This window comes from Homo sapiens, chromosome 3, assembly GCF_000001405.40.
Source record: "Homo sapiens chromosome 3, GRCh38.p14 Primary Assembly".
Taxonomy (NCBI): Eukaryota; Metazoa; Chordata; class Mammalia; order Primates; family Hominidae; genus Homo; species Homo sapiens.
Window position 1 is genome coordinate 165,199,721 of NC_000003.12, and position 18,651 is coordinate 165,218,371.

Consider the following 18,651-nt stretch of genomic DNA (forward strand, 5'->3'; position numbering starts at 1 on the left):
ATGTGATAAAACATGAATTAATATTTTTAGTTTTGTTGTATGTTTATTTCTGTAGATCTTTCTGTATCTCCATAGGAGAAACACTTTTGAAACATTTTATATCGTAGAAAAAGTTCCACACCAATTGATAATTTTGTTTTTTTAATAGCATCTTATAAGTCTTAGTGAATCAGCATAGATTTAACAAGCTATAAGTATGAAGAAGTTATAAAATATTCAATTAAACATTGATCTTTTATATCTTGTTTCACTAAAACATTTTAAAGCACTTTATAGGCATCTTCCAAATGAACCTTCAGCTTCTTTTTGAAGTAAACAAGTGTTTTAATCTTAAAGGTTATGTGAGCTATTTTGAGACAATCAGATTTAAACTATTCAATATGAACAAATGTTTATTTATAGGCTGGATTAAGCACAAAGTTATTTGTCTACTTTTAAAGATATTTTTCAAAATTATTTTGAATTAATAAATTGTAGATGTTAAGATTAAAATTACTGAGAGGGGAAAAAGTTTTAAAAGACTAAGATGAAGAGAAATAAATCAAATGTAAGTTGAAGTAAATTGATTATTGAATAATGTATCAGGAAATAAATGTAGGTGTTATATGTAATGGAAAAAGGCAAATCAGATAAGCTTTAGTGGTAGAAACATATTTTTAAATATGATATTATGAGAGAAGGAAATAATAATTTTATAGAATCATAAAATCTCAAGACTAAGAGGGACTTGGAAGGTAATCTAATCTGACCAATTACGTGATATTAGAATCTACTTCACTGTCCCCTGGCAAGTTGTTATCAAGATTATGTATATACTTTTTTAAATAAACTTTTATTTTTAGTTCCAGGGTACATGTGCAGGGTGTGCAGGTTTGTTACATAGGTAATGGAGCTTAGTGCATTTCAGAGCAGGCCATTTTATTTTTGGACAAATCCAACTGATTGAAAAAACAGTTAAGCAAATTAAAACTTCTACTTTCCATCAATTGTTTTTTTTTTTTTTTTTACCCCTAGATGACTTGTTTAAAAGTCTAAGGTAATGAACTTCCTAGTTATTTAAGTATATATTTATGCAAAGAAACTCACCTGCCAGGTAGAAATGCAGAACTAGTTTTCAAGATATGAGTTTGAGCTAGAGAAGGAGTGATTTAACTTGAAAAAACAACTGAAGCCATGAAACTACAGAATTTGTTGTAAGCAATGAAGTGACAAAATGTTAGAAAGCATTGTAGTGCTTGAGAGTTACTTCTGAAACATCCACAATATTTTAATTAGTCTTCATGGATATCCCTTTGGGAGCACATTTGAAGTTCTGTATGTGTCCTTTTAATCTACTGACTTTAAACCAACTGCATCATAGAGGAACAGTACTGGTATCAGCTACACAAATTAGACAGCCTAAACCATATATGTACATGTTTACATGTAAAACCAAATTTCTCCTGGTTTTTGACTTTTTGAAAGCTATTTGAGAACATGAATATAAAGTGAATATTTTGAAATCAGACTGATTTCAATATAAAGAACCTGATAAAAAATGCTTTCAGCACTAAGTATGGGAATAGATAAAAGTCTTCAATATGATCACGTGCTGGAATTCACAAATAATGGAAATCTTATGTACAGTCTTGCATCTTAAGTATATAACAAGAGTGTAGTGAAACACCGAATTTATTTCTTAATGTCAGTAATTCACAAAGTAGCTTAGTTCAATTAAAAAAAAAAACCCAAAAAACAAAAACTGAAGTTTCTTTGAATTTGGCTCCTTCCCTTATATTGCTGCTGAGGCTTAGGCATCTATAGCTGCTTTTAGCTACTATATTCTATCTAAGTCTCCCTTCACATTTCTATGTTGCTAAACAACAAATGTTTAGTGATTTCCATATCTGTAACTCTGCCTTTTTAGTACTGAAATTGATTTTTTCATATTTGGGCATCTAAAGATAAATATTATTCCATATGCATGTCATTTTTTCTTCATCGTTTGACAAAATACTTTCACAGATGAGTGGTCTGAATTTGGCACTTCAGTTGGCATGGTTTTAAAAAAATTGATAAGTAGGAAAATGTTTATTAGAAATGTTATTATTTTGCACATATTTTGAATAATATTAACAAGAAAAAAATAATAAACATATGTGTCATGGTGAAGGTATCATTCACTAGTTTTTTAATGATGGTAAAGCTATCAAATAATGTAGAACCCATGATGCTACAAATTTACCTCCCCCTCCCGAAAAATCTTAAAGTACCTTCTAAAAAGATTTGCCAAAAACATAAATAGAAGATAAATATTTAACACTTGTATATTTAAGTAGGTATTTCATGTTGTGCCCTTAATAATTTCAAAGGAGAATCTGACCTAAAAGTAATTTTCTTACTTTTTGTTTCTGTTGGATATTTTTATTCAAAGGGTAGTGATGAAATGTTTGATGTGGTTAAGAAAGTGAAAAAGCAACTGCTGATACCTCCCACTTTCACCTTAAAATATATTATGGTTTATTTTGTAATATTTCATTTGAAGGGCCATGAAAAATAGCCAAAATATGCCTACACATATACAAGTGATACATAGGCATGTGTGTTTCTGTATGCGTGTGTGTTAGAAGGATACAACGTTGGAAATTAATGGACTTCTTATAAATTATTTGTTTGAGTTATTTTATTTCTAAAATGTAGAGTAGTTTCAAAGATTCTGTAGTATAAAACAAACAGAATAGCTATCAATAAAATATTAAAAATGAATTATATGTCTTAAATACACTGTATTGATATTGAATGATAATATTTACTAAGTTAGAAACTTTTGGAACACTTGTGTCACAAAAGATCAGATAATCTTTAGAAACTGGCCTTTTTCTGTGGGTTTAAACCAATGCCCTGGAAAAATAACTCTGTTGAATGATACAATAGGCTGACATTAACTCCCCATGTGCAAGTGTTCTCTAGCATTTACTAAAAGGTAACATGTTTTAAAAACTCTACTACCTTTTAACTGTAATGCCAAAATAAACAGGAATCCAGAATATTCAAGTGCTGAACAGTTTCGACATTCCTTAAACCTTTGAGCAAGTACTAATTCATGCAGGGACCTTTCATATACAACTCAGCTTGATAGGATGAATCAACCAAAACGCAACACCTGTTACTCAGTAAGCTGGACTGGCTTCTTTCTACCATGTGGACAGTATAGTGTTCACTTTACAAGGAATTGAGATCCATCCAACTAGTTTAAGAAAAGGGTTGTTGGTGGGATTTTGTTTGTTTGTTTATTTAAAAGATTTACGGTCTTCATCTCATAGAAATCAAGAACTGAAACTAGTACAGCCAAACTTCATGGGAAACATAATTGGATATTAGATCTTTTTTCTGTCTCTTTTGGGGTCTGCATGGTTGCCTCCCTGACACTTTCCTTAATTTCTTTCCGTTCTTTACAGAAGGCAGAGTGATTCCTAAAAATTCAAGTATGATGCAATTTTCGGTAACCCTCTACTGGTTTCCTATCTCTCTACGTAAAAGCCAAAGTCCTTACACAGGTTATAAGCCCTATATGATCTTTCACTCAGCCTGTATCTGACCTATGCCCTATCATTTACTCTTTTGCTCCCACTGTGCCAGCCACATTTTCCATCTTGCTTTTCCTTCGACTTAAGAAGAGCACACATATCTCAGGACACTTGAAGCTGCTATGCACTCTGCCCAGAACATCCTTCCACAAATATTAGCTGGCACCTTCACTATATTTAGGTTTCTGTTCAAATGACATACAGTCATGTAGGCATTCTTGACCATGCTATCCCAAGTAGTAATTCCCTCATTACTCCTGAACTGCATAACTTGTTTATTCCTACAGTTTCTCTACCTGATAATATATAATTTATTTACTTTTGGGTTTTACTGTCTACCACCTCCTACAACAATAAGTTTCATCAGAACAGGGACTTTAATTCATTGTGGTACCATTGCCACCCAAAGCAGTGCCCAGTACATAATAGGAATTACATATGAATGTTTTGGAGGAATGAAATGAATGACTATTACTTCTAATCGCTACTTCCTTTTGAGTCTCCACCATTTTTTTTCCTGCTAAGTAGTTCTTTTTTGTATTAGCTAGCAGTCAGTTCACAGTTATTTCATGACCTTTAATTTATAATGTTCTCTAGCAACTGATAACTTCTCTCTTTTCTGTTAGTTCAAATTCCTGAAAATCTAATTGGATAGGTTATTTGTTTTTTTTTTTTTTCAGTAAGGCCACACAGACCACAAATTTCTGGACAATCTCTGACTGTATTCTTTTCAGTCAGGTATACACACTTATCTAATAAAGCAGAGCCACCTCAGAACATGGCTGCATAGGCCTGAGGGCCTGTGGGAAGACATCCAGGCAACATAAATACATCTAACACATAGAACTGTTGCAGCTTCATCTGCACCAATGTTCTTCACTGTCCTAAGTCCTACTCATGAGTCTGACATCATTCCTCAATTCACTGCATCAGTCTTTTACTTCCATGTTTCTTCTTCATCAGATGACTCCTCCAGGCTTTTGTTGTTCTTGTTACACTTCTTTCATCACAGATATAACTATGTATTTATAGTTCTCCTATGATAAATAAATAAGTCTCTGCCTTGACTCTAAAGACAACAAAATTACCCCATACTGTCACTTCCCCAAGGCTATCCCAATTAACTTTGGCGTGGTAAGCAAGAAATATCATGCCTTTACATAGATCCTGCTGTGGACACACACTAAGGTGACCCCCAATGAATCATGCCCTTGCCTAATCCCCTCTTGTTTTGTGTGGATGGAACCTGGTACTTCCTTCTACTCAATAAAATATGGCAAAGGGGAAATAATTATTCAGATGTAATTCAACTCCCTGATCAGATGATTCTGAGTTAATCAAGAGAGGTTATTTGGGGGTGGGCCTGGCTTAATCAGGTGAAATTCCTTAAAAGAGAGATTGGTGACCGCCTGAAAATGAAAACACATTTTCCTGATGTCCTTGAAGAAGCAAGCAACCATGGGTTCTACAACCCTAAAGAAATAAATACTTCAACAACCTGATTAAATTTGGAAATAAATTATTCTCTGTCAAGCCTCTGGATAAGAATACAGCCCAATTGGCCTCTTGATCACAGTCTCATAAGACATTGAGCAGAGGACTCAGCCATGTCTGGACTGCTGACCTATGGAAACTGTGATGTAATAAATGTATTTTGTTTTAGTCCACTAAATTTTTGGTAATTTGTTATACAGTAATAGAAATCTAATACAGATCTTCATCCTAGTTCACTGAAAGAGACAGACATTAAAAGGCCCCTATTATTTTCTTTCTTTAGACCTCACGGTGTGACATTGTCTTAAACTTTTTCTTTTCTTGAGTTACACATATTAAATTATGGAAAATGAAATAACATCCTTTACTTCCTTAGTATCTTTCTATTTGGTGATTTACTCCTTTATTATATTTTCCCTGTTCTCAGTGTTTTAAGACTAACTTTAGACCTTTCAGAAAACGACACGTGACCATAATACTTTTCTTCCTCCCTTAACCACGTCGTCATCTTTTCTGCATGCAGCATCAGCTCCTATCATTTTCAGCTGGTTCTGATGAGCATAGCCACAATGTCTTTGACTATGAGATTCATATGTTAACTCCTCTCATTAATGTCTCACTTTTTTTTCTGTTTATACATTTAAATATTTAATTTACTTAATATTTTCAAAAGAATTCTTAAATTTTTATATATTTACTTAAACAATGCTTAATATTTACTTAAACAATATTTTGTAAAAAATGGGAATATTTACTTAAACAATGATTTTGTAAGGTCAAGATGTTTATGTGTGAAAATTTATCCCTGATTTATCTACATGTTACATCTGAATATTCATGTAAATTTTATTTGGTTAGACACATCTATATGTGAAAACATCTGTTTTCGGACCTTTAACAAACTCACAAAAATTACAGTATAAATATTTGGTACATACTATCTGTATTTAAAATAAAAATTTTACTTTTCTTCAGAATATGTTTAGTGGTATGTACTTGAAAAACCGGTATGTTCATTTGTTATACAAATGGAAATAAACACTTGAGATGAAATACTGATGGAGGAAATTTCTTCTGTTTATTCTGCCGGACATTCTCAAAAACTGATTTGAAAATGAAGTGATTAGGAATTTCTGTTTCCCAAGAGGGCCCCACAGAGTGCATAATCAATCTCTGGTTCACATTTCCCTGACAAAACAAAACAAAACAAAACAAAACAAAAAAACACCACAACCACTCTACATAAGATTCTGATTAAAGAGTTTTAAAGTGAAATTTGTATTTTTAAAAAGTGAAATTGAAAATCGTGATGCAATGATAGAAGTAGGAGTCGTGGCAGGGGTGGGGTTCACTCATCTGCAGGTAATGAAGAAATTTTTAACGATTATATTTCTAAATGCATGCCGCAGTAGACAAGCCATAAAATGTTCTATTCAATTAATTAAGCTTATATCTCATCCAGGTATACCAAATTATTCTCTTTAAGGGAAAGAAGCTTAGGGAGATTAATAGTGGGAAATTAATTGAAAGAGCTTTTTTTTTGAAATATTAAAGTCATATGAACACCTGATCACATGAGGTATAGTTGAAACTGCTTTTCCTTGTTCTCATACTAAAGTCAGTGTAATGCATTGATAAAAAGCAGACTAAACATTTCCAGAGGTAAGGTTCATAGTTTTTCAAAGTAGCAGAGCATGTTTAACGCACTTGGATTGCGTTAGTTCAGAGGGATAGATTTCTCTTTTGGAAAGCTGCCTTTCAGTTAAATACCCAAATCTTGAAACTTCTGATAGTAGTCAGTGTTAATTATCTTCCTTTGAGACGAGTCACCAAGAAGCAGAAAATTTGCCATCTCGTGGTGTTTGTACATACGTGAAATCTATATTTTTTATTTTATTGTGAAGTACGAAAGACAGAGAATATTCATAGGCAACAGAATGAGATCTTCCTGCAATTTTTGGTCTTTTCTTAATCCACAGAAATGTGTAAATAAAACCATGTGATTATTTAACAAGAGAAAAAACCATTTGATTATTTAAAAAGAGAATTTTCTGACATCCTTGTTCCACCCACAGTTGTTATAAATTTGCTGCAGCTGCTTCTTAACGCCTCCAGATGGCGTGCTGGTGCTCGTTCGCGCCTCCCAGCGACCGGCCAGTTGCCAGCTGCTGGAGAGAATGAGCTTGGAGCCGCAGGGCTTAATCCCGCGCGGCTCAGAGATGGGTTTCTGGACTCGCGAAGCAGCTGCAACAAGGCATCACTCACTGTATAAGTATTTCCATTTCTGAGAGCAAAAGGAAGAACTTAAGCGGGCGGCACTTGGAGTGTAAATTGCTTTGTAGTATTTAAAGGCAGAATGGATCCTGGGCAGCCGAGCTGGTACGTGCAACAGAAACTACTCAATGGAATTGTTCTGGGTAGGACTGGTCTGATCGTCCTTTGTGTACCAAACGTTGTGTGTCCTGGATTGCGCCTATGTGTATACACCCATTTCATGTTCACCAGGATCATGGGGACTTGGGAGTCACAATCTTTCATTTTTCCAAAATGATACAATAAAAGCTTTACGGAACATTGTTTATTAATAGAAATGTGACCCGAGTCACAGTCTTAAGAAACACATGATAATGATAGAAAAATACTTTTATGTTTCTTTGTTAGAGAAAAAGAAAGTAAACCTAAACTGTATCACTGTGCAGTGTTACTAGATATGACTTAAAAGACAATGGCAAAAAATGTTTGACTGCCGTGGAGTAGACTTTTACCTGTAGGTGTAGACTTAAACACACCTGTAATATATCAGTGTTTTCAAATCTATGTGCCAGAAAAAAACATGGTGTAGCTATGAAAACACTAGTTATGAAAAATGCATGTCATGCATATGTACATTTTGTTTTGTAAATGTGTGTTGTGTATATACACATGTATATGTGACCTAGATGCAGAATTATTATCGTATGATTACAAATAGACATGTGCTGAATATAGATGAATTTCTGCACCTTCATACATTGTATGTCTATCTGGATAACTTAGTATGCAGATCCATTACCACAATATTAAATCTGAATTTAAAAGAATATATTTGTTTTACTGTTATACTTTACATTTGTTGAATTTCATTCAGTTGTGCATTGAGTTTTCTATGCTTTTAAATTCTGAGGAAAGGTTGGTTTTTACATTTTGAACATAAATTATTTGCCGAGGTGATTATATGGGGATAGGATGCATAGATATATAAATATAGGTTCCCTAAAGTTCAGGTTGTATGTGGAATTCACAAGAGTTTTGAAAACTCGAGAGTTCTGACCGAGAGTTTATATTAGAAACAACAAAATTGAAAGATTAAGATTCAGAGCTAAATTGGACATAATCGAGGCTGAGGTTTTATATTTAGTAATATTACTCTAAGATTAATGTTAGATTACTTATAAACTTGTATAGATTCCCTTGAACAGATGTTGTTCATGAACCAGTGACTGAATTGTATCTTTTATCATTGCACATAAGCAGATATAACACAATTCAATACAAGAAATATGACTTGAAAGCTAACTAGGTAAGATAGCATGCTAAATAAAGCCTAAAATACTGAGAAAAGTTAGAAACTATTGAGTCCCTGTCCTCAAAGAGTTGCCATTCAAATGACTAGGTTAGGCATGTTCATGAATATGAGTACACAGTAAAATACAAAATAAATGCCATTAAAGTGAGACATGCACAGGTGTGTAGCATTTAAATTGAGGGAGCGATCTAAATTAGGGGCATTAGTAAGGCCTTCAGATTGGAAAGCCCCCTTCTAAACAGATGGTTTAAAAGAACAATTTTGGTAGGTGTGAAGAGGTTCTGGGCGAGAGATGTATTCAGGTCAGACATTTGGTTTGGGTTGGCTATGGCCTTCTTTATTGGTCTCAGAGGTAAGCAGTAAGAGATAATATTATACAAATAGGCTGTGTGATATTGAAGATGATCGTGAACATGGGACTGAAATTTGGGGATTTCATCATCAGTTCATTCCTAGTGCCACTAACAATGTAGGCATTTAGTATTCTTAAAACATTGAATGTTGTACATAACAACAAGGGCCAGCATAAAGTTTTAGGATATTTGTATGGTTTATGTATTGCATGTCTACCATATTAGAATGTAAGTTGCAAAACATAGCACTCTTTTTCAATATTATATCCTCAGAGCCTAGAAAGTACTTGAAAAATATTTATCTACTGAATGAATTAATGAATAGTAAAATTGGAATACGGTCAGGGTTCTATATCATTCACATTTAGTTTTCCTGATGGTCTTAAATTACTAAAATCCTCAAAATTTACCAAGTCTTTGAAGCTATTGTGTCAGCTGATTCCACTTACGGCTCAGGTACTTCTAAGCAAGTTCCCTGGAATTACCACTATTGGTATTTAATCTTACTCTATTTTTAACCTCTTTTATGAATAGAATTGCCTTTACATTTTTAAAATGGTTATTAAGATAATTATAAACTGTGTGATTATTCAGGCAGAATTAAACAGTTCCTCTTCATATCCCTATAGTAGAAATAGTGAGTATATAACACAGGTTAAACAAATACATTCAGGAAAAGAGTTGAGGGTTTGAGGAATGTCTTTGCTCCCTGTAACGTATGTTTACCTCCGTATTAGAACGCTTCTAATATTTGGTTCTCTGCAACTTGATTTAGGCGAAACTCTCTAGAGCCTCTTTATAATTTTGGATATGCAGAGTGATCATTTGGGGAATCCTTAGCTGTGTGTTTACATAGTATTGGGAACTCTGTGATAATTTCTATGGGTCACAGCCCCTGACCCCGCAACAGCAGTGCTCCTCTTTTTTGTTCCTGTATACTGATATCTATACTTTTTATGGACAATGACAGGAATATGTGGATAAACTAGTGAAGAAAAAAGTTTTTGTCATTTGAAAGGATGATACTGGGTGAAAAGATACAATGATTTTAAAGGAATGTATAAACATGATCTGCCCAACTAAATTATAAATGAATGCATAATGACTTGCAAATAGAAGGGCCAAATAAACAATGTCACTGAACCAACAACTTCAGAAATAAACCCCTGGAGTTTCCCCTGCTCCTCAAGAGAGATCTTTCCTCTGTGATAATGATTTATATATCTTAATTTACTTTTATATCACTCATCTAAAAATATACAAGGGTGGAATTTCTCACTTTAAAAATATATGTCGATGGGGTTTATATGTGTCAGTTCAACTGAGGATGCAAGCTTTTAGTTTCAGCTTGAGCTAATCTGTGCGAAGTCAGGCTTTTTCTCTCAATAGTGTCAATAAGACAAATTTCCACACTAGCCTGGTCTCCATCCTGTTGGACTTGCTGGTAATGCTTTATTTTTATCCCTGTGAGAGGAGGTAGTATGGCATGGTGGCTGGCCCAAGACTTTCACCTTATTTGAAACCCTAGTGTATGGCTTGGCCTGGAGATTAATCTATTAGGGAAAGTACACCTTGTCTAAATACTGCTGGACATTCAGTTTTGGAGAAATCTACTGCAGTGTGTACTGCAGGATTTTTCCCCCTAGTGGTTGACTTAAGGCTGTTGTATTAAAACAATAGAAATAGACTTTTCTTCATATATGGAGCTAGCTTGGTCAATATTTTCTAACTTATGTTTTTAAAAACTTATTTCAGAAGAAATGATTATTTCTTCTGAATGATCATTGTTAAATGATCATTTTGAAAGATACAAATACAATGCCCTGAACAACATGCTTGTGTGTCTTCTTTGGAAGGCCGGACATTCAAAATTACACAAATACAAAATATATACAAATAATGGAAGTGTTTCTGCTACTAGATTCACACTGTACTCCTTTTTCTGGGTGTAGTGGAAAGATCTCTTCTCCCTCTGTGTATCCTAATGTCACTGTTTTTTTAATCAGCGGTGACACTGAATCAGTTTAACATGATTTTTCTTTAGCCTGTGTGACCATACTGTAAACTCCTTAAAGGCAGGAAACAAATCTCATGCTTTCTTTGAATCTCTCTATTATACTAAACATACTGCCAGCCACAAACAGCACTTAAGTTTATAATTATTTTTTTGAAGTAGGGCCTCACTCCGTCACCCAGGCTAGAGTGCAGTGGCACAATCATGGCTCACTGCAACCTTGACCTTCTGGACTCAGGTGATCCTCCCACCTTAGCCTCCAGAGTAGCTGGGACTGCAGGCACACGCCATCATGCCCAGCTAATTTTTGTATCTTTTTGTAGAAACAGGGTTTCACTATGTTGTCCAGACTGGTCTAGAACTCCTGGGCTCAAGCAATCTGCCCGTCTCAGCCTCTCAAAGTGCTGGGATTACAAGTGTGAGCCCCCTGGGCCCTGCCATTTTTTTTTGAATGATTGAGTAAAGATTAAATTATTATGTTTTCACACTAATTAAAATAGTAGATATAGTCATATAATAGTGGCTTCTAAAGGACAAAATGGAAATCTTTCTAGTGGTTCTATATACCAAGAATGTTATACCTGACACATCACAACAGAAAGAGAAAGCTCCTTCTCCTTAATTAACTGTTAGAAATGAAACATCTTTTTTAAAAATATTATTTGAAATGTGGAAATATCTATAAAGATACAAAATTTGCCTTTACTTGGTAGAGCTATTTACATCTGGAATAGCTATCTTCTAGCATACCTGTGTCTCTAGGGTGTTGTGTAACTGCAGGTGGAATATTCCAAAGTTAGAACTACTAAAAGAACAAATCAGAAGAGTTCCTAGCAGTAAGAATTAACCTTAAGGAAGCTTAGAAGCATTTGTATGCTTTAGAGCTGTTCCTGGGGAAAAAAATCATGCATTTTTTATAATGAGCATATTTATGAGCGTACCCCCACCTGCCACCAAGATGTATAAAAATGAGTTAGTAGCTGCAAACTGCTATTTTAGCAAGTGCTAGAGGAAAATAACAAAAGATCTGTGGTTGTATTGTTAACAGAAGTGAAGAAGCTTCTCTTGTGTCTCTGAACGAAGGGCTAACAGAAGAGCTTTTGGTTACTAAGATGTATTCTTTCCTGGACTCAGGCTCATTAACGATGGAAGTAGGAGGGATAGCATATAAAGCGGCAGCTGCAGCTGTGGGCACTCAGATCATTTGTCACCTGGCATGAAGTTAGTGTTGGCCGCTCTGGAGCTCCAGCACAGGACACCAGGGAGCAAATGCCAACTGATTGTTGTTCCTCACCAGCTTGCTGGCTAACTCCTACTCACTCTTCAGATCTCTGCTGAAGTGTTGCTTCCTCCAAGTAGCTTTGCCTGACCTCTCTAGAATGCATTTAGCACCTTTCTCTTCACTGTTATGGCCTCATAGTCTCACCCTTGCCATCACACTTACTGCTTGAAGAACTGCCTGCCCTCCTCACTAGGCTCAAGAAAGGCAAGAGCTGAGTCTTTTCCAACATTGTTCAGTGTCTGTCTTGCATACAGTAGGTGTGTACATATTGATAAGTAGTATCTGTTGCATGACGGCTTTATGACTATGTATAGGCTGTATGGGCTTGGATATCAATAAAGGCGGTATTTGACTCAGTGCCACGTGTGAGCTGAAAGTGACTAAGCTCTCAGTCCTACTGTCCTCATCTACTATCTGTGACAATTGTATACCTGCCTCTTAAAAGTAGTTATAGTCCTGGATAACAAACCTGCAAATGTACCCTTGAACTTTAAATAAAAGTTTTTAAAAATAATAAATAATTTTTTAAAAAGTAGTTGTTAAGGTTAAATAATGTTTTTTGTAGTAGTGCTATGAAGATTTATTTATGGGATTTCTGAATGTTAACTGAGTTAATCTTCAAAAAGACAAACATCAGGTTGGTACTATTAGCACGATGCTTTATGTAAGAAATAGAGGCATGGAAAGGTTAGCTTCCTTGCCCAAGGTCACAGAGAGAAGAACAACAAAAATAGAAGGCCTTGTAGAGTGACCAGGCCAGAGTAGATATTTGCTAAATGCTGGACTTGGGACTATTGCAATTTTATTTAGGGAAGGCTGATTCCTGTGTAAATGAGAAATTACACCAAACAGTTAAGAACAGTTTGTTCTCTGGTTTCAGAGCCTTCTGTTGCAGATATTTTCTTTGTAGAATTCCCATGGAAGCCCAATATGGTTACAGAAAAACTTCTAATGTGTGCAGTCAGAGAGAACCTTTATCTTTATTGAGCGTTATATGGTGTGGGGCATGTTAGAATCTAAAGAAATCTTTGTAAGAAATATGTTCTTGTTATAGGTCTCAAGATAAAAAAAAGAAGTAAATAATATCATGGCCTGTTTTAACAGTTTGCAGCATTCCTCATTTATTTTGTTTTATTTATAAATTCTATTTATCTTATAGTGTTTACTTTTTCTCACTATAAAATGCTTTTAGTTGAAAATATGTAATACAAACAGCAAAGAAGGAAAAAAAAATTATCCATAATTATTCAACTAAGAGATAGCTACCATTAACATCTTGGCATTTTTTTTTCTGTTTTTTGACAAAATTACATGCACATCTGCTTGTATATACGCATCCATTTGTACACACATTTTAATATGAAATTAGATTATACATACATTCTATGTCCCATTTTGTACCTATTATTTTATCATGCTCTTTAAAAATTATAATTGTCAGTACCAGCATAATATTATCATATATGGCTATATCATAATGTTATTTAGTAGTTTTGCTTCTGTTTAATATTCTCCTAATTTTGAAAATTGGTTTAATTCTTTTCAATTTTCACTTATTTGAACAGGCTTACTATGGTGCTTTACATGACAGATGTACCTTCTAAATAATCATATTTAGATGATGATGTAACAATATTTGAAAATAATATTTTCAAAGGGGGCAATGCACTTCCATTCAGAGATAAACAGGTCCAAAAAAATTTTAAGACAGAATTAATATTTAATGAAATAGCAAGAAATAAATTGGAATGGCAAATGGAAATAGAATAATGTTTTTTGAGAGATCATGGTATGCTATCACCTATGAAGGTCAGCGTTATAATTACTATTTTACTGTGACTGACTGGGGCTCAAAGGTAATGAATGACAAAATCAGATTGTTTTAGTGGCTCTGCCAGGATTCAAATATAAGTCTCACTCCTCAACACTTTATTTTCTTCATTCCACCATGCAGTCTACACAGCATGCTAGCAGTGTTCATAGCTCCACATGACAATTTATTTGAGCCTCTGTTTCCTCATGTGTAAAATAGAAACAGTAATACTCACCGTGTAGGAGTTTGTGATGGTTAACTTGAATAATATATGGAGATTGAGATCCAAAAGAATTTATCCTAGGGCTCAATTTTAGCATTGAGGCTCATAGGTATTTCATAAAATATATCCCGAAACTGATAGAATTTCATAATCTCCTGGCAATTGAGGGACTCTCAGAAGGCTCATTAACAACCCAAATTTCCAGACATGAATCTAGAAGATTTATATCCAGAATCTGAAGTAGGTCACTGCCTTTGTTTTTAACAAATCCCTTTGGTAATTTTGATAACATTTTAAATGGCAACCACAGATATAGGCAACTAGCAAAATGATGCTGAAGAGAGGATGAAAAGTTTAAGATGAGACATGAAACTTTGGCAGTCACTGGTTCAAAGTAGATGGAGCTTCCTGTGGGATAGTATGGCTGGAAACTGTGGGGATGTAAAAACAACTCAGGGTTTGAAGGCTTCATTTTCTCAGGTAATTTGAAATATGAAACACATTCAAGGCACTTGAAATTAAAAGCAAAAATAATGCTAAGTCGACTGAACAGAAATGGCAGACAGCAAGGTTTTGCCAAAGTAGAATATCCTTTAAAGTGTGTTGATTATGAAGGTAAATGCATGGAATGTGTGATGCTTGTGGATCCTAATCATGTATACACTACTTAAACTAAGAAACCTGATCTGAATTTTCTGTTTGACTTTTTTATTTTTAAGGAGGATATCTTAGAATTAGTTCTTCCCTTCTCTGTATTTCCATAGAATTTTTTCTAGCCTTTAATACTGAATAGCAATTGATAAAATTGATTTTTCCTATGACAAAAGGAGCTTCCAGAGAATGAGTCCTAATTCATTCAAGAATGATGCTCAAAAGCAACTTTTCAGTGAATTTTTCAACCCACATTTTCATTATTTTAAATAGTTGACGGAACATCTTGTAACTTTAAGAAAGTTCTCTACAGGAGATGTGCACTATATTATTTAATTAAAATGATTACCAAAGATTTTAGAACATTTGTTCTTTTTGTATTGCGGTTATTTGACGTGAATTCCTAAAGAGTGTACTAAAGAAAACATTCTCTAATATTTGAGACCAATGTTCTCTAAAACTGTGTTTTTGTCAGGAATTAATAAGCTGCCTGACGTTAATATCGTTAAAATTATAATTGATGGTATTACATTTCCTGGTGTACCTTCTGCTACAGAAATATTTCGAGTTGTGCCAACTAATTTTCTGGGCCTGTTACTGAATAATAAACATAGTGGAGACTAGATATTTTGACTTGCATTTTCTGGTTAAATCTAACCTTGAAGTACTCTATAGTTGGATTTTTGTATTGGTCCTTAACATATAATCTTACAATCTTAGGGGGCTAAAGGAGAGCTTGAAAAGTGATTTTCAGGAAGAAAGGAGAATCTCTACAATTTCAAAGCACTTTCAAAAAAGCCATGTCACAACTTCTCTTGCTAACCTATCCCCATATCAGTTACCTGCATTGTTGTGAGATTCTTTATTAAACCCTTCCCTGAATACTTCCTGTTGCTATATAAGCTCACATCTTCATGCTTGATCTTAGTGGAAACAGAAAACTGGTCCACTGACCTTTTAATACATGTCATTTAGATATTAGGAGATTGTTATTGAAATCTCTCCCTCAATAAATACTGCAGACACCTTATGCACCTAGTCCATGCTCTTTTGATGAGTTCCTTCTGCAGGGCAGGGCGCTGTGTACTTCACATGCAGGGAGCTACAAGAGGGCCTTTTCTAGGCCTCCTTGCCTTCTTCCTTCTAGTTTTTAAAATCATTTTCCCTAGTTTTGTAATTTATCTAAATTGGCTATTTTTTTTAAATTCTCTGCTTGACTTTTTCCACTGGCCTTTTCACCTTCTACACTTGACCGTTCACATTCAGAAACAACAACAAAAAAATGGTGGTTGAATCCTGAAGAAGGATTGAAGGTATACACCTTACAGTATAATTTTGTATGTACATGATTTTATGTATACATTTCAGACACCTATCATCATTGTCCCGTAGGCATGTACTATTCAAGTGCAAAGTTTTATACCAAATATTAAGTGGATTTATCAATAATGCAAAACAGTAAACCTTGCCCTTGAGGAATGCCTGTATTGAAGAGTAACAATCACATTACCACCCACTTATTGTGTATTGAATCCTGATCATCCTGATGGCAGGTAACATTATGAATATACTAGCATTAAGTAAAAAGATTATCTGACTAAATGATGATCATTTTACCTTATTTCTGAGTAATTACTTTTTGTTAAGGACCTCTTCTATCCTTTTAGTTTAGAAATGTAACCTGATGTCTCTTCCTTCAATTTATACTTCAGTAACTTAACCATAATTTTGCACCATCTAGTGAGTTTTCCATGTTTCTTCTCTCATTCTTATCATTTAGTAAGTCATCTTCTCTTCTGGCATATTTATGGATTTTTAGGATGGTAAGTTTGCTGGAGTCTCATTGATTGCTACTTTCTATGCAGAATCTTTTAGTCAGTGTCAAAGGGAGATTATTATATGGGTATCTCACACACAGGAAATTAGATTCACTATAGACCAGCTATGGTGGATTTGCTATATTAGATTAGATTAAATTAGATTCGCTGTAGACTTTTTCATGAACTGTTTTCAAATCTGTACTCATTTATTCAGCATGAGTGCAAATCATTATGATAAATTATTCAAAGTACATTTATAATTTTATACATCAATTTGAGAAACTTTTAATATTTACTGTTACATTTTCAGAATCAATAATTTTCTGCTTTTCACATATATTTTTAAATTGTTTCAATCTTTCATGTTGAAATGTTTCTGGAAGATAAAACTGGAGAATCACCCTAGCTTTTGTTTGTCAGTACTGCAATATTGGGCAAGTTACAAATGGCTAAACAGATTATATATTGAGTTTGTGAGACATAAAAAAATTTTACCCATAAGAAAAGGATGCTATCTGTCTGATTTGATGATCTACATAACATTGGGAAGAATAATACAAATCTGTATTTGTATAATTATTAGGCTAGAGATCAGAAAATGAAGCTGTGCAAATCAGTTGGCTGTATTTTTAACTTTCATTTGTGACTGATAAGCATACTGCAGAGCTTGAGAAATTACTCTGCTTAATTTTGCCTAAAACAGTACTTAAGTAGATCCATTACTGATTTGGATTTTATAATAAAAAGAACTGTTAAGGAGACAATTTTTGTTTGGCAGGTTGGAAATGAAATGTTCCAAACTTTCCTTGTGCAACAGTTTCTTAGGCTCTGGTAAGAAATTAGATTATGTCAAAACTAGTTAATTACAAAGATAAATGTGAAATGCAGGAGATTGATGAAAACAAAACAATTTCAGCCAAAGTTCAGGAATTTTTTTTTTAATTCAGTGATAGCACAGATATCTTAACTGATGTCTGGGCTCCATTTCATTTACTTACTAGCCCAAATGTCAGCAATGTATGCATTAAGGTTGGTTTTCAGATATTAACTCTAAATAGTATTCATCAATTATACTTTTGAAGCAAACATAAAGCCCTTTATAGCAGAAGGGTCTTTATTGCCCCTTTTCTCCAATTTTTATTTTGTTATTATGTGTTTATTTCTATCAAAATCCTCCCTTATTTTCATCGTTTTCATATTCTACCCCACACCTGGACTAAGTTGGAGTAAAGAGATCCCTGAGTTAAGAATGCCAGTAAGATCAGAACACTATGAGAATAAGGTGGTGATAGTGGGATAGGGAAAGCAGCTGAAAGGGTTTATTTGTATTCCAAAATACATGCATCTGCACCTGCAAGAAGACTTTTGCCATCACAGTCAACTCTTTATTATTTAGAGAACTCTCTGCTTTGTGGAGATTTGGCTGTAACCCCAGACTTGCTTCCCTGGAACACCTAACTTTGTTTTTTTGCTGCCAACAGCATGGTCTCCTTAGGAAGGATTCGGCTTAAACGTGGAGAGGAAGACTGAGTGTCTGTGTGTATGACTGGGTATAAATCAATCAAAATTCCAAAGGCAAATTTAAAAGATTTGGGTGCATTATTTTGTGCACATGCCTCTTTTTCTACCTTATTGAAAATAATTTCAATACTTGTATACTTTTAATATGTTCAGTGCAGTGCAGTGCATGCTCAAATCTATTTCATGTGGTCTTTCTTAACTTCATACTTAACATTTAAACATCTGTATGTTTAATGATTTTACCCTGGCTACAGGCATTAGTCAAACATTTGTTTTCCTTTCTGTGCTATCATCAAAGGACTATTACATTTTTAATCTTCCCTGAAGAAGTTGTAACACTCCATTAGAA

The 18,651-nt window shown here is 34.1% G+C and overlaps 1 long non-coding RNA gene across 5 annotated transcripts in view; it reads left to right on the forward strand.

Moving 5' to 3' along the window:
* The first annotated feature begins 7,227 nt into the window (after positions 1-7,227).
* LINC01322 (long intergenic non-protein coding RNA 1322) overlaps positions 7,228-18,651 on the forward strand; it is a 332,490-nt gene continuing 321,066 nt past the window's right edge. For all 5 annotated transcript variants that reach the window (NR_174101.1, NR_174100.1, NR_174098.1 and 2 more), the window contains exon 1: positions 7,228-7,439. This is a non-coding gene — a long non-coding RNA (long intergenic non-protein coding RNA 1322). The remainder of the gene's footprint in view (positions 7,440-18,651) is intronic.